General features: G+C 38.0%; 1 protein-coding gene across 1 annotated transcript, besides 2 other annotated features; it reads right to left on the bottom strand.

Annotated features, from left to right (window-relative positions):
• Positions 1-1,981: 1,981 nt before the first annotated feature.
• GPR37 (G protein-coupled receptor 37) lies at positions 1,982-23,889 on the bottom strand. Its single transcript, NM_005302.5, has 2 exons — positions 22,051-23,889; positions 1,982-5,440 (listed from the first exon to the last, which is right to left on the bottom strand). The coding sequence occupies exons 1-2, from the start codon at positions 23,071-23,073 to the stop codon at positions 4,622-4,624; spliced, it is 1,842 nt and encodes a 613-aa protein (NP_005293.1). The 5' UTR covers positions 23,074-23,889; the 3' UTR covers positions 1,982-4,621.
• Positions 15,785-15,929: an enhancer, noted in NCBI's record as "145 bp 7:124397814 sequence used in MPRA reporter constructs". NCBI's record gives its function as "activates a minimal TATA-containing promoter with rs2299902 allelic activity by MPRAs in C283T melanocytes {active_cell/tissue: C283T}" and the evidence as "EXISTENCE:reporter gene assay evidence [ECO:0000049][PMID:36423637]".
• Position 15,857: a transcriptional cis regulatory region, noted in NCBI's record as "rs2299902 or 7:124397814 MPRA-significant variant associated with a GWAS melanoma risk locus at 7q31.33". NCBI's record gives its function as "allelic transcriptional activity by MPRAs in C283T melanocytes {active_cell/tissue: C283T}" and the evidence as "EXISTENCE:reporter gene assay evidence [ECO:0000049][PMID:36423637]".

The raw sequence follows: 23,898 nt of genomic DNA on the forward strand, positions 1-23,898 counted from the left end.
AATTGGAGAAAAAATAAGCAAGTGTGAAAACATAGTAAACGGTGGGTTACTTTAGGTAAATAGTAAACCTGCATTCATTGTTCTTGTCTTTCAACTTCTGTATTGGTTAACCTTTTTAAAAAAATAAAATTGAGTAGAGAAATGCAAAAACCACAATGAGATACCACTGCATGCATATTACAATGGTTAAAACTTAAAAAAAAAACTGGCAATATCAAGGACTATTGACAAGGACTATTGACAATATACTTTGTGGGTGGGAATGCAAAATGGTACAGCAACTTTAGCAAACAGTTGGCAGTTTCTTATAAAGTTAAAAAATATACTTATGATATCACCCAAAATTCTCACTCTTAGCTGGTTACCAAACAGGCATGAAAACTTATGTTCACATAAAAATCTATATGTGGACATTTATAGTGGCTTTATTAATAATCACCAAGTTTTGAAACAATTCAAATGTCCCTCAACTGAACAAGAAATGCATAAACACACAGTGGTACATTCATACAATGGAATACTCCTCAGCAATAGAGACAAACTACTGATACACACAACATGGATGAACATCCAACGTACTCTGCTAGTGAAAGAAGCCAGATGGAAATGCTACGTACGATACAATTCCATTTATATGACATTCTGCAACAATCAAAAAAGACAGAAGACCGTGGTTGGGCAGAGAATGGAATAAAGTTGGCTACAAATGGGGATGGGAAGATTTTCTGAAATAATGATACTGTTTTATACTTTGTATTGGTGGTTACACAACTGTGCATGCTCAGGACTGTGTGCTAACAGGAGTGAATTTACTGTATATTAACTATATGGTAATATTAAAATTAAATTGTTAGTTTGAAAAAAATCAGATCACTTCATCTAAAACCCTCCAGTGGTGTGTTACTCAGAATAAAAAGCAGTCATTACAATAGTTTACAAGGCCTCCCTTTAGCTCTTTGATCTCAACTGCTACTTCTCTTCCTCTTCCTTCTTTTCTAGCTTCACTAGCTGCTTTACATTCCTGAAACCTATCAGACATATTCCTACCTCAGAACCTTTTCCCCCCAGTTGCTATAAGACTTGATTGCTCTCTTCAAGCCTTAATTTGATGTCATATTAGCAGTAAGATCTTCTTCATAACCCCACCTTACCCTGGTACTCCTTTCCTCCATGGTAATTTTCACTACCAAAAATGCTATGTATTCTAAAAACTATATACTATGTATTCTCCTTATTTATAGTGTCTGTCTGTCTCAACAAGAGAGGGCAAAGCTTCTTGATGTTTTGTTCACAGCTATATCACATGCACCTACAATGGTGTTTAACATATAACAGTACTCATTCAATAGTTGTTGAATAAATTAGCTGAGATATAATGAAAGAGCTGTTACTTAAAATGCCCTGCACTCAGTATCACTTGCTACGTTACATAACATACTAAAATCAATCTCACCATAATTCTTAAAGAAATGGATCTTTTATTCTAATTTTACTTTTATGAGAAATAAGGAACTGATGAGGAAAAAAGATTAGGGATACAGTTTTTAAAATAAGTATCAGCATTTTCTTAGAATTCAGTAACTTACATCTATAATATGGAACAATAAGGATTTGATCCTTTTCCTCTGTGAAGCTCTTCTTCCTACCTCTTCCCTCTCAACCACTGATCCCTCAGAGTACCACTTCACCTTTACCTTCCCACTATCACTCCATCTTTCTTGCTGCTTGAAGTCAAACATTCAAAGGCTTCAAAATTGTGGATCATCAAATAAATGTTAAATTGAGTTAATTATATCCAGTTATAGATATAGACATATATTTTGAAAATATTTTCATTGACTACCCTGAAACCACAAAAGTGTTACTGTTAAGTAACGAAAACGCCATTCCTAGCATTTTCTGATTAATCAAAATTTTACTGAACTTAATCTTAGATGTGAGTTTCTTTTTCTTTTTCTTTTTTTTTTTTTTTTGTTGTTTAACGAGGAGCGTAAGACATTGGATAAGATCCAGACTGAAGAAATGTTGAACAGAAATGATTAACAATTTTTTAAAAGTATATTATAGAAATTGGTTTTTGTGAAAAACACAAGACGACTATGAGAAAACTTTGAAATCACTTTATACTTGGGACAATTTGAGTTATCAAAGTTTCCACTTTGACAGAGGTAGGATTCAATAAGAAAGTACATGTTGCAACTACAAAAAGTTGAAAGGCAAGTATAAATGAAAAAAGAAATTTAAGTTCCTGCTGCCTCCATTGTGGTTCAATCTCTTATAATAGCTTCCTAGTTGCTTTTTCATGATCAGACTGTCCCCTACCAGCCTATTTAAACTGTTTGCAAGTTGATCTTCCTATTGCAGAGCTGGGATACTATTTCTCCATACTCAAAAACCTTAAAAGCAAAGCCCCATTTCCTGAAGCACCACCATGTAAACATCTTTCAAAACATGGTCCTATTATTAGATGGCCTTGGTGCATATTTTCTTTAATATTTCCCACAAGGCTGCTATGCACACGTAGCACAGAAGTCAAACTGGGCTGTTTATTCTTCAATCACACCCACTGATTTCTTCTTCTATTCCTTTATAAATTAGCTCTCTCCTCCTGAAGTGTCCACTCCTCACACCATCTTTCATCAGCTCCTTCTAAAAGCCCACTCATCCAGTTATCTCATAAAGCCTTTCATGCTCTCTTCTAACCCTATAAGCATTCCCTCTATTCCAAAGTATCGCAGAACTTCACATCTTCCTGAGGCACCTAACAAGCCCCAGCTTATATCATAGTTGTCTATGTATTTATTTTATTCCTTCCCATCCATGTCATCCCTGCCTGATTCTGTAAGGTCTGAGGCTGTGACCTATTTACCTTTAGTTACTCAGGTAATAGGATAGAATCTTTTCCACATGACATGCTCAATTGTTCCTTGATTTATAAAGTGACTAAATATCAGGAGAGACACTATGGAATCACAGTTGCTGTTCTGCTCAGCAGCCAAAACCTAGCTCAGGTGTCCTCTTGAGAAATTTTCCAAAGACCTATTACAGGGATCTACAAGAAGACAAGGGCACCTTGTTTGAATTCTCCTGCAGATCCCACAGAATACACACAATGGAGGGAAAAACCCCTTTGAAAAGTATTGGACTGGGAAAAAGGAGATAGCCTGGGCACTGCCATTTAAGTTTCACCTGCACCAATCTCTTTAATGATTTTTAAATAACATCATGTTATAATTTGGAAAAAGGAATACTGACTTACTTATGCCGAGTAGAACAGAAATCAACAAGCAGAAACTACGTTTTCCCAGCAAGAAAACTGGGTTCTCTATAACAAGATTTTTCTGAAGACAAAGACATCCAACTACACATCTTCTTTGGTAGCTTTTAAATATCACTGTGTCACTAGGTCATGGTCTCTGCCACCTGAGTTAGACATGTGTCCCACACAGCAAGCATCCTACACAACTGCTGCATTTTAAACTCCAGAAGAGGCAAAAGAGGGGATTCAAATATTCCCAATGGAGGAGGTTAGGTTTTTTTATTCAGAGTTTATGAAGTATCAAGTTAAAGGTAGAATGTTCTAATAAAAATATATAAATATTTTATTATTCCACTCCTATACTTTCATTGCACTTAAAGAAATTAAGTTGTATAGATTTCATCAAGTTTATTTTTCAAAAGGAGAAAAATTAGAACTCAGAGTGCTTTACGTAGGATTCACAAAGCTTCAAAGGTCAGTGTTCAGAGGAAATCAGATGACAACTGCATTTTAAAATTCTTGATTCTGCCCATAATTCCCCAAGGGAAAATCTGTAGCTCTATGTGCTAGTTCAGAGGTGAATTTTTTAAAAAAGAAACTTTCTTCCTACTCTGCTATTTATTCATATTTTATAAGTATTCAGAAGTAATTTGACATCTATACCTGAATATTAAAAATACAGCTTTGTTTTAACATACAACATAGTTTTATGAATCATGCATATAAAATACTGCTATTAGAAAAACTTCTTTATAACATAATGATTACCTGCCTTAAAAGAAAATACGTTATAAAACAGTAAGGCCGGTTTTAAATTGTGCATAGAACCAGTAATTGTATCTTTAAGGCAATTAGAAGATTTATTGAATATTGGTTAAAAGTAGATTGACAATGACATTAAAGAATAAAGTGTAATTTATTTGGTGCTACTTTGTGAATGCTTCCAAGTACAAATCATCTCACAATACCATATACAACATACTTTCAATCACAACTCAAATATAAAATAACCTACAAAATCACATTGCTATAATCAATATACAATAATTGTATTTTTAAAAGAAGAAAAAACGTTAGCAATTTTAAGTTAAGTTGCAGTAACTTTTTTCAAATAAAATATTAGCACCATACCAGATAAAATAATCTAAAACTATTGGCCTTCTCATTCTTCTTAAATAACTAAATAGAAACTTTTTTTCAAAGCACAAATATTAATTTGTAAAATCAGTTCTACAGTAGTTAATATTTCTTTCTTTATTGTTTCTTTTTTGCATTTTTCCCTATAAGGAAAAATATGAATTAAAAACTTTCACGGGATATGAAAATCAAACAAATAAATCTGACCCAACCAAGTACTGTCCTTCAGCAATGAGTTCCGACAGAAGCAAAAGTGGACATTTCACGGCGTATGGTACTGAAAGGCGAGAGTTCGAGTTCCGTGGTGTACTCGTTGTCATTGTCATCACTGGTCACCGTTGAAGACTTCTGAATGCATTCCTCACAGCAACAGCAGCAGCACTCCATGAAGGCCCGACTGAAGGGTTTGCAGAGACAGAAAAGGAGGACTGGGGTGACACAGGACTTAAAGAACAAAAGGAACTGGCTGATGATATTAAGGAGGTCCATTGTCTGCTGTGAAACCCCTGTAGCCATGTAGGCAGTAACAATGTTGCAGATATTTTCAGGAATAATGCAAAATCCATATAAAATGGTCAGTGCCACTACTGTACAGTTCATCTGACTCTCTAGTTGAATCTGCCGTTTATTCCCTCGGGTACAGGCTTTCTCTGCTTTGCGGATTTTCCTCGCAGTCACTAGAGAGCAGGTGATGGTGAAAAGCGTGGGCAAACAAAAGTAACAGCCAAAATACCACCACAGTCTCGCACTGTCGTAGGTGAGGGCTAGAACATAGATGGTGTCTGGTAAATCAGGAGAGATCTTAATAATGCACCTTTCTGCCGGAGCTCGGCCACTAAACCCCAAATCCTCCTTGCTCAGCTGGCGGAGAACAACTTCTGGAAGTGCTAACAATAGAGCTCCCACCCATATAACAGCAAGTTTGGCAGTTGTTGAGGAACAGTTTTCGATCATTTCGTAGTACATCTGTACGTTGGTGGCAGCACGGAAGCGGTCTATGCACAGAGCACATAAGGTGAAAGTGGTGACTCCCAGAGAAGCGACCTGTGGGGGAACATAGAAGACATTTATTCCCGGTGTCCCCCGAAAGATCAAAGCACTAGGAAATAAATGCAGATTGGCAAAACTGTAAAAAAAAATATGGATAAATAAAAATGAGAGAGAGAGAGAGAACAGTTTTCCAGAATGAGGCATGGGTAACTGGGCTCAGGACGTCAGCTGAATCATTGTAAGCATAAAAAAAGAAAACACACTGTAGTGGTTTGAGGGTCATGGAGTGCAGAACATTTAGGACTGGAAGGATCCATAAAGATCAGCTAGTCCAATCCCTTTTTATTATAGATCAGAACCCAGATACACTAAAAATTTTATTCACCACGAAAATGTCTGCCACTAGGAGATCTAGATAAGGAGTCAGGGTAGTGCAGAAATTCCCATTTTCATTGCTGACCAGGATGCTCATGTTTTCCAGTGTGAGGGTCAGTAGTGTGCCTTACACACAGCAAACACTCAAGAGCTTATTGTCTCCAATGGACTAAATGATTGGAGGGCTCCTCCAATTTTTCCTAAATGCAAAATAAAGTATTACAGTATTATTTTCAAAGGCATACACTTACGGAAAACAAGAAAGGGAAATTCTCCAGAGGCCAAAATCAAAAAGGAAACAAATTTCAAACAGGCCAGAGACCCCTCCCTCTTCATGCTGCGTGTTTGCCCTAGGGGCACCTGCCAATCCTGGTGAGGGTTTCAAGTTAGTTTTAGCTAGAAAAATGGGGCAAGGTGCCCAGGTGCACAGAGACAGGAAACAGAGCTGGGGCCAATGTGGGTGGGGATTGGGTCAAAGACTCCCTGTGAATTTGGAACTCCTCAAATGCTGACATCTTTAGAGGTGTAAAGGGAAAAAAGAGAGAGAGATAATGAAGAAATCTGCCTGGATGACAGGGTTTGGGTCTGGATGAACTGGGGGAAAAGGAGGGAAAAAAATGGCAAATTCTAACTGGGAGCCTGAACTTACATGGTGTTAGGATCAGAATTTCCAGGATCTACGTGGCTCAGAAAACCCAAAATACAATTTAAAATAATCCCAGGCACCTGGTTAAAATCAAACATAAATCCTCTCTGGAAGAATGCACTTTAAAACCAGGCCTCAAAAAATCCTATAGTTAAAATTCAAGGGACATGGGTTCACAAAATCAAAAGTCACAATATGCAAGAGACAATGAGCCACTATGAATTTATATGCCAAAGATACAGAATCAGACATAAGAAGTATATTTATCATAAAATAGGTATGTACATCAAATTTAAAGAAATAGGAGATACTAAAATAGAACATGTAAAAATACAAGAAAATATGCAGAAAATAGCCAAAAAGAATGTCTAGATATCCCAAACACAGGAAAATTTTGGAGCATAAAACTCTTTGACAATAACCACATGAAAAACTGTATTCAAAAAGGCACTGCTCTTATAAGCATATGGTCCAGACATCTAAAAAAATCAACATTTAAAGGTTAAGAACCAAAAATATGTACCTATTTTTTTTTCACATAGAGGCTCTCCAGGAATATAAACACATGTTCCTAATGTAAGCATGCTATCATTTCATTTACTTATAAAATATTTATTAAGCATTGTACATGTACTCAAATGGGGCAAACAGATACATATCCAACACAAGCACACATTTATTTATATCAACTCTATGCCGAGCACTATGCTTGGTATCGAGAAAATAGAAAGTTACAAGAAGCAGTCCCTTCCCTCAAGCATATCATAGTCAACCAAGATGGGGACGATGGTTCTCAAAGTTACAACATAAACACAGCAATCACCTGGCAATATTAAACCTACTTAAATATTCTGGGGAAATTTTAAGTAATTTAATATGTAATAAATGTAGTCATTATTTATATATTTAAACAAGAACAATGAGTAGAAGGTAAAATGTTAATAACGTTTCAGATAAAATATGAGACTAAAAGAAAACTCCCTGGGTGGATGGAATGCTTTGGTCTACATCCCAGACAACTTGAATATAAGCTTTTGCTCTCCCCTGCCTGCTGGTAGGAAGGTTTAAGAAGCATGGTTATAGGCTATTCCCTGGTAAAGGGGCAGGGGAAATGTAAGTATAATGTTAATATCTCATTTTTTAAAAGTCAAAGGGATGATGTTGACAAAAGGGAAACCATTTGTCATACAATTTTAGTACTCAAAACATTAGTTGTTTATCTACTACATTCAAGCTGTCACTCTCCCCAGAGCTACGGCAACTTGCCTTGGGGATTCTGACAGTTCCAATGTCAAATATTTCCTCCTTATACACTACATATCAGACGGCATCTACTAGTTCTAATATGGAAAATAAGGACATTGTATTTATGCCCTGACTACTCTCATAACTAGTAGTGGAGACAGTCTGAAAATGAGGTATAATGAGGTGTTAACTATATTAAAAGCAAAAATGAAAAAAAAAATATGGCTAGCAAAGCTCTAGTCAGTGCAGATAAAGAGGCACAATTGGGCTGATAACCACAATTCTTATTCTCCAAATTTTTCAGAATGTCTCCCATAAACATTGGCATATGAAACATCAACCTAATATGACTGCAAATGACAAAAAATAATCTCCACTTTCATCTTTTAATAATTAACCTTCAAATTAAAAATTGTTCACATTGATGAAAATTTGTTTTGCGTCTATGCTAGAGGCACAAAATAATTCTAAAAATGAGGTCCACATTGTACAACTGTCTTATGATCATGTTTTAAAATGCCAGTAATTGCCACTTAATAAAGACATCTAAGAACGGCTGGCCACTTCCTAAAATTCTATATCAAACAGTATCATGTAGAAATTACAGTACCTTAGTTTATAGATTTTTGAAACTTGACATTTGTATATTAGTTTTTCAAATGTTTTGATTCATTTCTCCTAAGTCTGTCAAAAACAAAACAAAACTTCTTAAACTATCAGAAACCCTCGTCAAGGCTTTCGTGCCATCTTCACTAAGGCAAATCTTTGTGCATGCTTCCCCGTCACTTTATAGCCCGAATGAGTCCACAAATACAAGGCTTCCAAAGTTTATGCTATACATCCTTTTGAAATCACAAATAGGATTTCTATTAAAAGGAAAGCTCAGTAATATAAAAATACTGGAGACTCTGAGGAGAGGCAATCTTTTAGAGGCTCAGAACATCTATTTGCTTGGTGGTTTTCTATCATTACTTGCAAAGAACACACAATGCACAAAAGATAGCATCTTCTCTATTAATCTCCCTAGTTTTAAATCCACAGATTGAAAAAATATGGATCAATTATCACATATGCTAGTAACTGCATACCTAACTCCAGGAGTTACAAAGTCTTTAATGAAAGGTAATGGCAAATGCATGCCGGTGGACATGTATTAAGATGGGTGTGTTAGATTACCAACTCCTTAGATATCAGAAGCTGTGCTGCACATCCGCTCTTAATTAGAAGATGTTAACTGCCTAAGAAAGCAAAACAATGTTTTTCCAGGTTCTTTACCTTCAATCTCATAAGACAACAAAAGCCAGGACAAATGTTAAGCAAGATTTACATGTATTCCAACTTATCATCAGGAATTCTACACTGTGTTTTATCTGAGGATGCTCAGTTCTTCAGTCATATTCCCAAAAGCTTTAGTACCAAGTCAAAAGCTCAAACATACATGATCTGTAGTCTTTTTGATAAATCATGAATTAAGGAATCCTCCCCAGTTTTCATATACAAATTTCAAAAAGCTCCTACATCCAGGCTTCTGTTTTCAAATTGAACTTTTCTCTGATAGTACTCTCTGCAGTTAGGATCCAGCTGCAACAGGGTAAACAGTCCAGAAGGGTCACAAGAGCAACAGAGAAAGTTGCTGAAGGAGCCAAAGAAAGTAGCACTGCTCCAAATGCAGCTAGCGCTTGGGATGCAGTTGCTCTTGGCAACTGCATCCCAAATGCCAGTCCTAGACATCTACTCTCTCCTGCTGCCACTGCCTGCAGTGATATTACTTCAGATCTTTTTTCTGTAAATTCACTTACGCACTACATTTTATGGTGTGAAAGAGCAAGAAATGTACAAAGGCCCTGTCAGTACTTTTCCAAATTATTTATAGGAGGCTTTAAATATGTGTAAAGTAGTAACTGCACACCTCAGAAATTAATTGATAAAAATCATATGAATAATGAGTGGCGTTCTAATTTCTTCTTACCCAAACATGAAATCTATCCATGTAATTAAAATTCCTAGATATTGGAGCAACATGAAAAGATTTCTATCACAATTTTGAAATATACTTGTTTACATGCAGCTTATTAAAAATTCTAAGATGAATAGTGCAATTATGTGCAATTATAAAACTGCATCATGAACGCCAGATCTTCTGCATTTAATGACCATATCTGATTGCTAAAATTCAATATCACCATGAAATATGCTCTCAGGAGTAAAGCTGTTAAGCATTGGCTTAGATGGGTAGTTCTTTGAAGCAACATCCTGAGAGACTGAATGAGTAAGATGCAATCTCTTATTAATTAAACTGCAATGGGAGGAATAATTAACAGCAACAAAAGCAGAACTGTAAACACTTTTCAGAGACAAGACTATTAATTTTGATAATTTCAAGATCAGCGGGAAAATAGAAACAAAATTTTAACTATTGGGGAAAATAAGATATTGAGCATTTTGAGAGGATTGGCATTAGAATACAGAGATGGAAAGGAATCAAAATAAACAACTCTAAGATCTTTCAAACAACAATGTTCTGCTTTTCTTTGTGTCCCAGAGTAACAACAATAAAGCTCCTTCAGCTCCCACCCAGCCCACATGTGGAGCAGTGAGGCTTTGGACACCAAAGTGAGGGGTTTAGGGTCATTCTTCTTGATCACCCCTAAACTGTTCCCATTATTATGCCTTTATTGAACACTGTATTACTAGCAAAGAGACCACTGCATTAGCACAATGCTATATGTGTGTGTGTCTTGTTTTTAAGAGAGAAAGAGAGAGAATCTATAAAATATACTGTAGCTGCTGCTGGGAACAATGATGAATAAAGCAGGAATTTTATCCTCAAGAGGTCTGGAATCTATGACAGAACTTCTCGACTATCTCCCACCTGCTACCATGCAGCCAGCAAGTTGCTTTACATATGGAATCACTCATTACAGTCTACTAGGCAGAGAGGATTGACTAACAGTTTCTGGCATGCTCACTGTGACTCCCCTTGATCTGGGACATATCCATGTTTGCCTGGAGACTGCAGTTGAGAATCACTAGTTTAACAAGATTGGAAGACAAACATAATTTCACAGTATCTCCTAGGGAAATTGCTACAGATGTCTAACTAACTTTACAGGCTGACCAAATTATAAAACCTCTCCTGATGTATAGCTGCATTTCAAGAGATATGATCCAATTCTTTGCAAATATCATCTATGTCCTACTTAGTCTATTAGACTAGGATAACCTTGTGATTGTCAGTTTGACTGTTTATTAACAATGCAGTACAGTCATGATTTGTATTTTAACTGAAGTATCTATTTAAATCCGTGGGATACAAGGATGGTACAAAAAGGAAAGAGAACTTGAAGACCACCCAGAATTCATGTCTAAATGTACTCTTTGTTGCTCTTGACATACATAGTAACCCTTGTAAAGTTGTAAAAGTTTGCTCCTGTGTAGGAAAAAAAAATAGCCCAGGAAGGATTGCCATTAGCTTTATATGTTACTTTAGTCATTTAGAAAATCATTAAATAAATCATTTAAAGTTTGGATGGGTTTCTTAAGTTTTCTCTTAAATGATAATATAGAGATAATAGATAAATTTTCTCTTATAATGATAATTTTAGGGGTAAAATTTATGCTATTACAATATTTGCTCATTTGGAGATTTATAAGATACTGGAGAATGAATACTAAGGGCTTAAAACACTCATAAAATAATTTTATTATATTCTATATTTTGAATGTTTTTCTAACTAACAAAACTCCATTTTGAAGTCATCTAAAAAGGTTTATTCCTAATTACAGTTAAGATGCAATTGGCTCAATTTAATGATCCAGATATTTCAAGTGACATTCCAGATGTTCAATATTCAAGCGACATTCAGTACTCTGACAGATTAGTTCTCATTTTCTCCTTGCCTCAGTTTTCTTAATAAGGAGCAAGGTAATATGTATTTCTCCCCTAATTGTGGATGCTGATATGATACACTATGAAAGTCTACCACAAAGTGGAAAAAAAAAACCTATAAAGTATGGAGGATTTTGAAAATATAATGGAAGTTTTTGTGAGTGGCTTCTTGAGTTACCTTTTAAATTTTGTTACAGAAAGAAACCAACAAAAAACAGGTAGTTTGGTTAGGATAATGAAGGAGTACAAATACAGTCACCTGCATGGAAATGATACGGGTCCTCATCTAGTCCCTTATCACCACTGGCAAGACTGAATTTAGAGAAACCCAACTTGGTAGTTATGAGAACCATAAATATACCTCAGCTTTCAAATATTTTGTCCCTCTGTTAAACATGTATTTATGAGATCGTGAGTCCCAAATTTTGGTTCAGCACCTATGCTGTCCAACTTAAGACAGCTACTTTATACCCCGATGAGAAATTAACCCGGTCAGTAAGTTACATGACAACAATGACTTTGGGGAAAGATTCAGAGTGAAACTATCTCTTGATAAAGTAAGAAAAAAATGTATCGCTCTTTCCAGTAATTTCAAGTCCCATGTTTCCCTAGGTTTCTCTTAAAAAAAATAATACAAACAGAAAGAAACTTATAAGGCAAAATACTTAATAAAAGGTAAAAAGCATGCTTTATAAGTCAAGATATAACTAGATTTCATTTTTCCCACTGCTCAAGTTTCTAATTTAAAGCAACTATCAGGACCTGAGGAACCTGGGCTACCATAGCCACTTTGTGCTACATTAAATCTCTGTTCATTCAAAATGATATGAAGAAAGAGCCCATGGGTGCTTTATGAAAACCAGTAATCTACAGAGATCCTGTCTTAGCTACTGCTGCATTTCTCAGAAGCTAACTGCAGACAAGTTAAAAAAGATTAAAAATGAGAGTAAGACGTGAAGTAGACAACACAGAGCCCATAAAATACAAATCATAAAGTAAATTGTGTCTTTCGCAAAACTTTCCGGTACAAATCAGTGATAACACCGATGGGAAAAGAAAAAACGAAACAGTGTCCTAAGCAAAATTTCCTTCCTATGAAATTGAATCTACATGCTCAAGTACAGTGAAGTGACTAGAATACACTGGTTTTTATAAAATAGGAAAATTTCTAACCAAGTTCTTGTTAACTGCATTCTAGGCTGGCTTATATTTTACATAAAAAATCTTTAAGTACATCTATTTATGTGCTGTCCTTTGTTTACAAGTAACCCTCAAAACAAGGGCATTATTGTTAAGAAAACCCATTCATTTGGGCTGTGAATGATAACCTATTATGTCAGTGGTTACAGGCCTAACAACCAGTCAGGAAAAGAACAGGATGAGCACAGGGTAGAACCTCTAAATGGCTGGAGCTTCTATGCCTTTGGCTTCTTCTTGCATTTTTCCATTATCCTTGTCCTTGCAGCATTTCAGGGCAGCAGTGGGAGATACTTTTTTGAGCACAAGTGGGGGAACAAGTTTATCAGAGCCACTGTTTATCAGACTGCTCTGAATAAGATGACCTTTTGCAAAAGGTCTTAATTTTGGAGTGTATGCAGATCATGATACTATGGCAGTGACACACTTCGATTAGCATTTCTAAACCAAAAGCAGAGAAGGAGAGACTTTCCTCACCCCTTACATTCATGCACACACTGCTTGTGCACTCTCTGGAATGAAACAGAGCTCTGGCAGCCACTGTTCCACAGTCAAAGAGAAGACTTCTTATCCTTATCAACTGATATTTAGTCTGATATGCCCACATATAATAAATAACCATTTATTTCTAATATACTCAGACTATTCCATTTACATGTGATTCCCAATGCCGTGGGGGAAAAATATTTTGAAAGCATCAACTATCAACTGTCCTTACTGCCTCATTCTCCACCTTCTCTTCTTTTGCCTAAGCTTGATACCACGCTTTCCTTATTTTAAAAGCCGTTTAAGACTATTTAAAAATCAACATATTCTCCCAAAACTTGTCTTGATTCCATAAATCCTCTTTTCCTTTATAGTCCTATCTTGAATTAAGGTTTGTTACCAATTATGATGTCTATAGCACAGTACATTCCTTATATGGTTAAAAAAATTCATTTAACTACAACCTAACATGTTATAATTCCTATCAATCTGTCAGGTGTTTATTAAAATAAAAATGTAAATGAAGCAAGATTAGCAACATTTTGTCTTAAGATATAAACCATCTATGTTAGATTCTAAAGATTCCATGTTTATTCTCAGTAATTACAAAATCATTTCAAAATGTAATATTTCCCCCAAGCCCACAGTCCAGTTCTCAATCTTTGGTATTATTATGATGTTCCTAGTCAATCTTAAAGTGACCTGGAATTTCAGTTCCTTACCTTGGGGTTCTGATGAGTTTCCAAAAAGCAGTAACACATTTTTACCTATTTCCCTTTCTGACTAATGATATTGATTTGCATGACTGTGAACTCAAACTAAAAACAAAATTATGTATAGTTAGGTCATCATGATTTTAATAAAATTGAGAAACCATATTTTAGGACAGAATTTATCTGCTTTTAACCAAAATTTCACTATTGGTAGTCTGTTAAGGAAATTTCTTTCTTGATTCAATCTTCTTATAAAAGGCAGTTATTTCTAAATTGCATATCTTGATGCGAATTGGCTTATCAGATGCTTTTCCGATATAAAAAGGATTTGAATTAGGAAGACAATAGTAAAGATAGGCCCTGAAGATGGGAATTGATGAGGAAGGGGCTATTTTGACAGAAAAAAAGAAAAAAGTAACATCCCTGAATAGAGTCACAGACCTAATAAGAATGTCTCATTCTAGGCAGGGATCAAATCAATGACCTTGGCCTCATTAATGAATGCTATGAACTATTCAAGTGTACAGACAGATAACACTGAAAACTATTACAAATTCACAAATGGAAAGTATTCTGTCTCAAGAACAAGACTGACACAGTGATCATATCCTGCGTTTTATGGAAGTTTATGAAAAGTACCTACACTTACTCTGCAAATAAAAAAAGACCCTCCATATTTGACGTTGCAGTAATCCCATTCTCAACTCCACTCTGAAATTTTGGATGAGATCATCTCTTCTGGCACAAAGAGTATTATTCCAATTAGGATATTTAAGAGTTAGTCTTGGCAACAAGGTTGAGTTCATTATTGGACCTTGGCAGGTCAATTCATGGGAAGTGAAATGACAGGCGCATCCCTGGAGGATGGAGCAGAAGTGCAGAGGCAGAGACAAACTGCACTGCATAGCTGCCTTCCCATCCCTCTCCCACAATCTACATCCCAGACACAGGTCCATGTGCTTCCAATGGGATACTGTTAAAAGGTTGCCGCACATAAGACGAATGCCATTAAAGGTGTAAAAATTGTATCAAGGTCCATGCAGCCTAAATATGAAAGCAAAGGTAGACCCTCACCCACTCAGCCTTCGGTAAACTTATAAGCTCATATCTGTTTTACTTCTGCAGACACATTTGCCTCCTTGTCTCTGTGGAAGGATACTTTGCTGACATGGCAGGATACCTTGGGAGCCCTCAGGAGCTCAGAATAAATCTTCACTCTGATTATGTGCTTGAGAGATTAATCCAATTCTTGAGAAAGTCCATTCATCGTGCTCCCCTTTCCTCGACTCCACAATGGAGTCTAAAGTATCGCCCTTGTCCATCTTCTTTCTTAGGTTCTCCAAGGTCAAGTTAAACAATTTGTATATGTTTTGATTTTTTCAGAAGAAAAGGACTCAATTTAATATACTGTTATTACATTGCCAAATAAGCCATTCATTTAAATAAAATGTTTAATTTTGACGTATTTAGTGTCCTTATAGCTAATAAGGACTAATTGTAAAGCAGAGATAGATATCCTAGGCACTGGCACAAATTCCATATTTTAAAAGAAATTTCTAGAACTGAACTATTTGCTGAATTATTTTGCCAATTATTATTATGGACTTTCTATCCTGGGAAAGCTAAAGGAAACAAAAAAGCAAGAATTAAAAGATTTTCACATTTGTAACTTTTCATCATGGATCTAGGCTGTATAGGCATTTATGAAATTTATGAAGATTAATAGTAAGAATGTAACTGAAAAGAATTAGAGGGAGCACAGTTTTCCCTTTAATTTCTCCATCTCTGGTCATAACAAGCACAACTGTGACTTGACCCATTTCAGTGCCATTTCTGAGCTTCCACGATGCTTTGTTCAAACCTCTATTATAATATTCATCATGGTGTAGAACATTACTTTACTTTTCTGTAATTTTAATGGCAGTGGCTCATCTATGATATTCATCTTTGGAAACTTTTCCCCCTCTTCCTGTATTGCCTTCTCCTGCCCACTCCTAATAGTACCTCGCATAGAAGAAAAGCCAGGTAAACATTTGATAAATCAATGAATGGTGAACAAATGAACGAATGATGACACCTATGGAAAAGGATTACAGAAAATAATAAATTATTCAAATTGTTCTTTAATCAGTTATTGGGTGCTGCTGTTTTATATATAATCCTTAAAAGCTGAATGCCAGACAATATCTATAGAAGGGAAGTTAAAAAATCAATTTTCCTATTTATACTTCATTGACAAGCTTTAGAAAAGGACACATTCTCATTATGATCAATGGAAAAGGAAACTATTTGGATTTCTTATTTGAATATTATAAAACTTTTCTTTCTTGTGGAAGATCCAAATTCAGTTAACTTCACCATACACCATTCAGAAATGGAGTTATAAATAAAAGTGCACTCTAAGAAACACTTTTCTTCCTGTTAGAGTCATCAGCTAAATATTTTCATTTGCATGGGAATATATAAAATGATTACTAAAAGATTAATGGGAAGTCATAAAATATTTGTTCAGCACCATTCTCATATATTGAGCACATTTTCCCTAAGAATACTATTAGTAACTTTAAAATTGCTCATAAAACAGTAAGTTTCCACTTAAAAGTCCGGCAGAATACCTAATGACTAATCCACCTCTCAAAGAAAATTTACCATATGCCATGATAAATGTTCTATTACTTGAATACAGGCGTTCTAGGGAAATCTGTGTAGACTCAGATAGTTGTATGGCACTGTCATCTTCAACCTCCAAAAACCCTTTCTTTCTTGTCAGTGCTAGCTACAATCTAAGGCAATGAAAGAGCCATTTGTTCCACTCAACTTAAAACCAGTATTGCTAAAGTCATTGGAGAAGCTGGTTCCTCTCATTAGAAAAGATTCTAGACTTGTCACAAATTATTCCCAGACCAGAGGCCATGGTAAGACATGTTCCCTTTATTCTCTCTCCACCTCTGTGCAGGAGTTTTATCCCAGTAAAATAAAAATACAGTTAGATCTGGGGTTATCTCATTATAATTATTTGAAGCCTTCTGTTCTACAACACTCCATGAAGGTGTGGGTTCTTTAAACTAAAGAGAATCTCGATCATTCAAAACCTCCAATTAATGTCCAAACAGACCTTAATCTGTTATCTGGGATCTCGGTCAGATGATACCTTGATTCTGACTTCCATTAAATAATGAGCAAAGATTCATTCCAGTTGCCATATTTGATGTCTGAATTATTTGAATTTTTTTTTTTTTTTTTTGAGACAGGGTCCCACTCTGTCACCTAGGCTGGAATGCAGTGGCATGATCATGGATCACTGCAGCTTCAACCTCCAAGGCTCCAGAAATCCTCCTACCCCAGCCTCCTGAATGGTTGGGACTACAGGCATGCACCACCACATCCCGTTAATTTTTGTATTTTTTGTAAAGATGGAGTTTCGCCCTGTTGGCCAGGCTGATCTTGAACTCCTGGGCTTAAGCAATCTGCCTGCATAGGCCTCCCAAAGTGCTGAGATTACAGGGGTGTGCCACCACACCTGGCCCAAATTATTTGGTTTTAAACACTTGTTAGATTCCTAAGTGAATGGTAGGTATGGTAGAGAACTCCTCTGCCATTCTCCTATTGCAATCCACACCCACACATATCTCCACCTCCCCTAATACACATAAAAGCACACTACATATACAAGTTTTGTTTTGAGTATAGTTTTTTTCTTGTGGCTAAGTAATAAACCACTTTAAACTGATGTGTCTAGGAGGACGGCCATGATCTATCCAAATTTTCTTCTCTCCTATCTGGCATTTCCTACCATTTCATTTGTCCTTCGACTTTATGAGATTTATTATTAGGCCATAAAGATGTCATAATCCTGGAATAGAAAGGGAAAAGTCATCAACTACAACAGTTCCCAGAACATTCTCACTCACGGCAATATTAAACATCATAAAACTTCCTTTCTCACAATAGACCTTGGAAGCTGGGTGCTATCCTCAAGCTTTAGGCCAACAAATTAAAATAGAAAGAGGAGTTGAATGAAAATTAGAAAAAGTATAGTTTTTACTCAAGAAGTACCTCATATTTTTCTACACAAACCCAAATCTTCCCCAAAATCCCACGATTCCCTTCAGATTATGCTAACGCTCAAGCTGTACAGGAGAAAGAACTGTGGTAGAAAAGAAAAATAAAGCAAAAGAGAAGCTGGGAGAGAAAAATTATAAAATTCAATCATAATCTATTGAGAATAAAATTTAAAATTAACTACGAAAAAATTAAAAATAAAAACACTGAAAAAGGTTAAACATCTTACTGGAAAATGGTGAATGCTACATCATAAATCTATAAGAAGGTATTATACATAGTTAAAGAAAGGAAAAATAGCCAAGAAATAAAATAAGAAAGTAACAAGTGAAGGAATGGCAAAATTTAGAAATATGAAAGTAGACAAGATGTCAAAAAATTTTTAAAAGTCTTGAGGTCAGAGGCAAAATTTTGGAAGGGGATTTGGAGAAAGTTTGAACAAATGTAATGTACTTGTAATGTCCTTCACCAATCTAACATACTTCATGATTTTAAGAACATAAAATTTAACCTATATAACTTTTTGGTCATTAAAGTCATCATGCTAGGCAAATTAAAAAGTATAGTTGTCTCAGATTACTGCAATTTAAAAAATTTTAATTAACTACCAATTGCAGAACTTACTGACAGTTTATGAGAAACAAAAGAAGCTATACATTTCATTATATAACAAATGATGTTTACGGGTTTTTATTTTTTCCTGTCTAGTGGATTAAAAAAAGAAAAAATTTTTCAGATGCCAAGGAGCGGAAAGGAAAAGAAAACACTCACTGGATAAAGCTTGTGCTTCATACAGGTTGGTCTAATCAGCAAATATAAACATGAAGCATTGAGACCAAGGGTCTGGTGGCTACTGACCAGGTATATATGTTTAGGATAGTCTCTGAGCTTCAAATTTCATCTTTAAAATGAGGGAGTTGGATTAGAACATTATCTATGTCTGATTTAACATGATTGTTCAAAAGCTACTGTAAGCTGGGCGTGGTGGCTCACGCCTGTAATCCCAGAACTTTGGGACGCAGAGGTGGGCAGATCACAAGGTCAGGAGATCAAGACCATCCTGGCCAACATGGTGAAAGCCCATCTCTACTAAAAATACAAAAAAAATTAGCCGGGTGTGGTGACACGCACCCGTAGTCCCAGTTACTTGGGAGGCTGAGGCAGAATAGCTTGAACCCCTGAAGCAGAGGTTGCAGTGAGCTGAGATCGTGCCACTGCACTCCAGCCTGGTGACAGAGCAAGACTCCGTCTCAAAAAAAAAAAAAAAAAAAAAGCTACTGTAGTGGATGCTGTGGTTTTCCACCCAGACAGCTCCCTCCAAAGTCCTTCAAGAATGAAGCACTGATTCCTCCAGCTGCTGGGGCTATTGGTTGACAGTGCTTAGCTGCATCCCTCTCTAGGAATTGCCCTTGACCAAAGAGATCCACCCAACTCAAGGTTATACCCCATCCTGGGAGCAGGCTTGCATCCAATGTCTTACATCTAATGACTGGTCCATAAAGAGATGTAAAGGCTGAGCCCTCTTGCCTCAATTTGGGATATGGCTGCATGGCCATCCCAGCCCTAAAGCTCCTAATGGTGTCAGCTGAGGTCTCTGTGGCAATTGCATCACAGTTCAACTTCTCCCTTTGCCCGCCCAATCCTGCTTTCTTCTTTCCTTAATAGGTTGAACCTGAGAGCACAACCCAATAAACTTGATGCCCCAATAAATCTACATCTCAGGGCCTGTTTTTGCAGGAACCCAACGTAGGAGAAACCCTAAATACCTCTTACTTTTGTGAAAACATCAGTGCCTCCTGGAGACACACTTTTATTTTGAGATTTGGACTGTAGTTCTTGTTCTCAGTAATCAGGAATTATGAAGCCAGCAATATTGTCCAATAATTATTTTTATAAACCATTCTAAAATTATTTCAGAGTAATAAGGATTAGGTAGAAATATAGAAATGCTACATATTAAGATGTTCATTCACTATTTTAACAGTAAAAATGTATATTATACTGTAATTTTAAAAAATAAATGAGTGAATTTTTTAAGCCTTTGATTCTCTAAGAAAAATAAATGCTAGCACTAATAACTGAAAAATAGAGAAAGCTACTAGGATGGGGAAAAGTTAAGCAAAAATACAGAAAGTAAAAGATTTTACTAATAATAAGAGGCAAAAAACAAAGCACTCTTAAGGAGGAGCTGATTAAATTAAAAAGTGAAATACAAATGAAAGAAAGTATTACATTTGTACAAACTCAGAATTACGGAAAAAGAAAATTAAAATAAGTACATAATAAATGCCATTGCTCAAAATGCTTATATCTCATTAAATTAACCAAAGTTTTTATAATCTTTCCTGAATTTGATATTCTTTTCTTTTAAGGTGTTCTTTCAAGAACTTTGGTGTTTTTATTTTTCTTTCCCCAATTTCCTTTTTCTGTCCTATTGTTTTTCCCTCTAGTGTATACAGATTTCTACATGTCCAGTACATTTCCAGTGAGATAAGCCAATACACTTCTCTGTCATTGAGGTACCTCTCTTGTCCGCTTTATACTTTTGTCTCTTTCTTGCATAAGTCAATTTCTTCTGATAAAAAAAAAAAAAGAAAAAAAGAAATTTGAAACTGACCTTGAAGAGGCAGTTTGGTAAATAGACACATATTCTCTAACATGAGTTCAACTGGCTCCTTCACAATTCAAAAATGAATTGTCTACCAAACAAAGTAGATGTTTCAGAGATACGCCAAGCTTGGCAACAGGAGAAATCATGGACGCTGCTAAAGCAGCAACAGCTGATTTCATAGTCATGGAATGATCCTGCACCTGATCCCTGTCAAGATAACAGAGGGTCTTATTTACTGTCTCCAGCTTTGGTCCGTCTAAGTAGGTACTGTTTTCTGTTTACTTATCCCCCAGCTTTAGGCCTGGAACAATGTTGAACATAGTGTCACAGGCCCTGGTGCCAGACAGGATCAGGGGCTGCGGAATATTTACAGTTTCCCTTCTTCTGCTTCCATAAATGAAATGGACAGTCTGAATGGAGAAAATCAAGGGCCAGCTGGCTAAAAACACAACTGGCAGCAAAACAGTTGGGCCCCTTCCAAGAGCTGGTGTTTAAAGAGAGGCCATTTAAAGAGCAAAGTCCACCTACCACAATAGTGGGCCAGGACACTAGCTGTAGGATGAAACAATGCAATTTCACTCAAAATGATTTTTGTTTCCAAAGTTTGGAAACTAGATGTGCCCCCTTCTTCCCAAGAAATTTTCTAGTCTTAGGGTCAATCCCTTAAAATAGCCAATCTTTCCACCCATAACAAATAACAAATGTATAACTTTGAGAATGTTAAACAAATTATGTGCCACGCTGGCCAAAGTCTTATTTTTGCTTAAGTTCACGCAAACACACAAAAATAAAATTAAGAAACCGAGATGGGAAAAGACAGGAACAAAAAATGACTTAAGAATTTAGATGGGATAGCATGGAAGACAGTCAGACACTTAAACTAATTTGAGAGGTTATTAATATATCATGAGGCCAACTGACAAACACAATTTTCTTTCTTTCTTTCTTTCAATAAAATGTTACTCCAACTTTGCTGTTTAAGAAAAAATGCAATAATCTTCTTGGGGGAAAACTCACATTGAAGCACTTGGTAACTAGTACACAAATGCTAATGTTTTTTTTTTTTTCCTTGTAGGCTCTGATGATGACAACCTTAGGCTGGCCATTTACTTAACCCTAAAATCTCTGACAAGTGCCAAATCAGAAATACGCATAACACCATATTCAGGGAGATAGATTTATACTCCAAACAATTCTGTATATTGTGAGATCATCCTTTTTTTACAGCCCAGGAGCAGATGAATTTGAAGGTGATTTCGCGAAGCTGCCTCTTTTTGTATATACATACATGCATAAATGATTGGAAAGAGAAATGAAAGAGGGCCCCAGATAAAAAGGAAAGGCGTTCAGCTAGATAGGTGCATCCAGCAGCAGTTCTCTGATGCTATAATCCCGAAAACAGATAAAGCCACTAGCTTGAGAGCCCCTGGAAGGCATTACCTCTATATAGGGCACGATCTTGCAGGAGAAGTCCTCCAGCAGCCACTTCTTGGTCAGCTCGTGGAAGATGACCAGCGGAAGGCAGAAGAAGATGATGAGAAAGTCCCAGAAGGCCAGGTTGGCCAAGAGGGAGTTGGAGATGCTCCGCATGTAGTAGTTGTGGCACACGATGCACATCACCGCCAGGTTGCCAATGATGCCGGTCCCGAAGATCACCACGGACAGACACATGACCGCGTAGGCTCCATAGGACTCCTGGGTCAGCGGGTAGAAGGGGTTCTTCAGTCTCACACGCCGGTTCGTGCTGTTTCCCCGGCGGGGACCCCCAGGCTCATGGATTCCTTCACCCAAGGATCCATTCTGGGCCAGCGCCCGGCCCGGGAGTGCAATTGTCCACCCTTCGTGCCCCGCCAGTCCATTGGCCGTCTTGGACAGGGGCTTGTGGTGGGAACCCTGGAGTTTCCCGGCTCTCCTTGGCCAGTAAAAAAGATCGCTGGCTCCGGGGACTGTCTTCACACTCTGCTCCTGGCTACGCCCGGAAATGCCAGCGCCTCTGGGACCCTTCTCTTCCTCCTCTGAGATCTGAAGGAAGAGCTGGAGGGCCGTGGGGTTCCCTCTCCCCAAAGTTTCAGAAGGCTCCTGACCCCGAGCACCTTTCCACCTCCAGGGGCCAGGTGGCCTGGTTGGAGGTCCCGGGGGTCCGGCTGCCGACGCCTCCGCCCCTCTGCCTGCAGCCGGGTCACGGCCCGGGGCCGCCGGCAGGTCCCAGGAGGGTCCCGCAAGAAACGCTGCCCCCTGCTCCTCCCTGGGTGCTCGGGCTCGCAGAACGTCTCTTGCAGAATTTCCCGGTCCCCAGGCGTCCCTGCCGCGGCGCTGGATCACTGTAGGTGCACAGCTCTCCCCCAGACAAGTTTCGTTTCTGGACGCAGGGGCGACCCCGAGGGCAGAAGAGGCAGACACCTTGAGCAGTAGCAGAAGCAGTAGCCGCGACATGCGGGCGAGAAGCGCGCCCGGGGCTCGCATGGCTTGGTGAGGGCACACCCGGCAGCCGCAGCTCCTGCTTAGTTAGGATCGACACCTGCTGCCGAAGTTGCTGCTGAGAGTTAGGCACATGTCACATACTCACCCCCGCCCGGGTAGCGGGGAACCGGAGATTAGGGTGATAGCGGAAGATCGGTCTTGGGGGTCACACACACGCCCCCTATAATCCTTCCTCCTTTGGCATCTTGTGCATTTCTCAGCCAAGTTGAGTCCCAGCAAGGTATGCCCTCCAAGGTTCCTAGAGGGAATAGGCTACTCCCGGTGGCTGACCTTGAAAAGTTGCAATCAACACCTGACTGTTGATTACTGTTGAGACTCGGGGGAGCCCAGACGAAGCCCCACACTCCTCACTGCCTTTGGGTGGGGGTGGTGGCCTTCTTGGTAACAGTTGCTCTGCCTATTTACATCCTTTCGACAGCGTTTGATCCAGTTGCAAGCCGAGGTCTCTAGAGGAAAAGAAAAACAAGTCCCCCTCCCCCAGACGACTCGCAGTCACAACCCCGCTCCCAGCTCGCTGGAAACACGTTGCAAACAGTCCGAAGCAGCGCTGATGCGCCGGCGAAACTCTTGCCCCACCTAACCCCAGCGACTTGCGAGCCTACTGCTGCCGAGGAGAAGCGGGATTCCAACCCCGCGGCCACTGCCAAAGTTGCTTCTCCTCCAGCTCAAAGTTGACGACGGGGCGAAGCAGGCTGCTGGACGGCGTGCCGCCGCAGAGAAGGAAATCGTGGGGAGAAGGGGGAGAAGAGGGCGCCGCTCGTCGGTGGACAGTGCCGCTAGCCGCGGGAGCTAGTCACTGCCACAGCG

This window comes from Homo sapiens, chromosome 7 (genome assembly GCF_000001405.40).
Source record: "Homo sapiens chromosome 7, GRCh38.p14 Primary Assembly".
Taxonomy (NCBI): Eukaryota; Metazoa; Chordata; class Mammalia; order Primates; family Hominidae; genus Homo; species Homo sapiens.

Excerpts from the sequence above, each read along its gene's own strand:
- GPR37 (NM_005302.5), bottom strand. The coding sequence starts at position 23,073 with ATGCGAGCCCCGGGCGCGCTTCTCGCCCGCATGTCGCGGCTACTGCTT. Across the intron at positions 5,441-22,050 it reads AGATCGTGCCCTATATAGAG|GTCGCTTCTCTGGGAGTCAC; the intron begins GTAATGCCTTCC and ends GTTCCCCCACAG.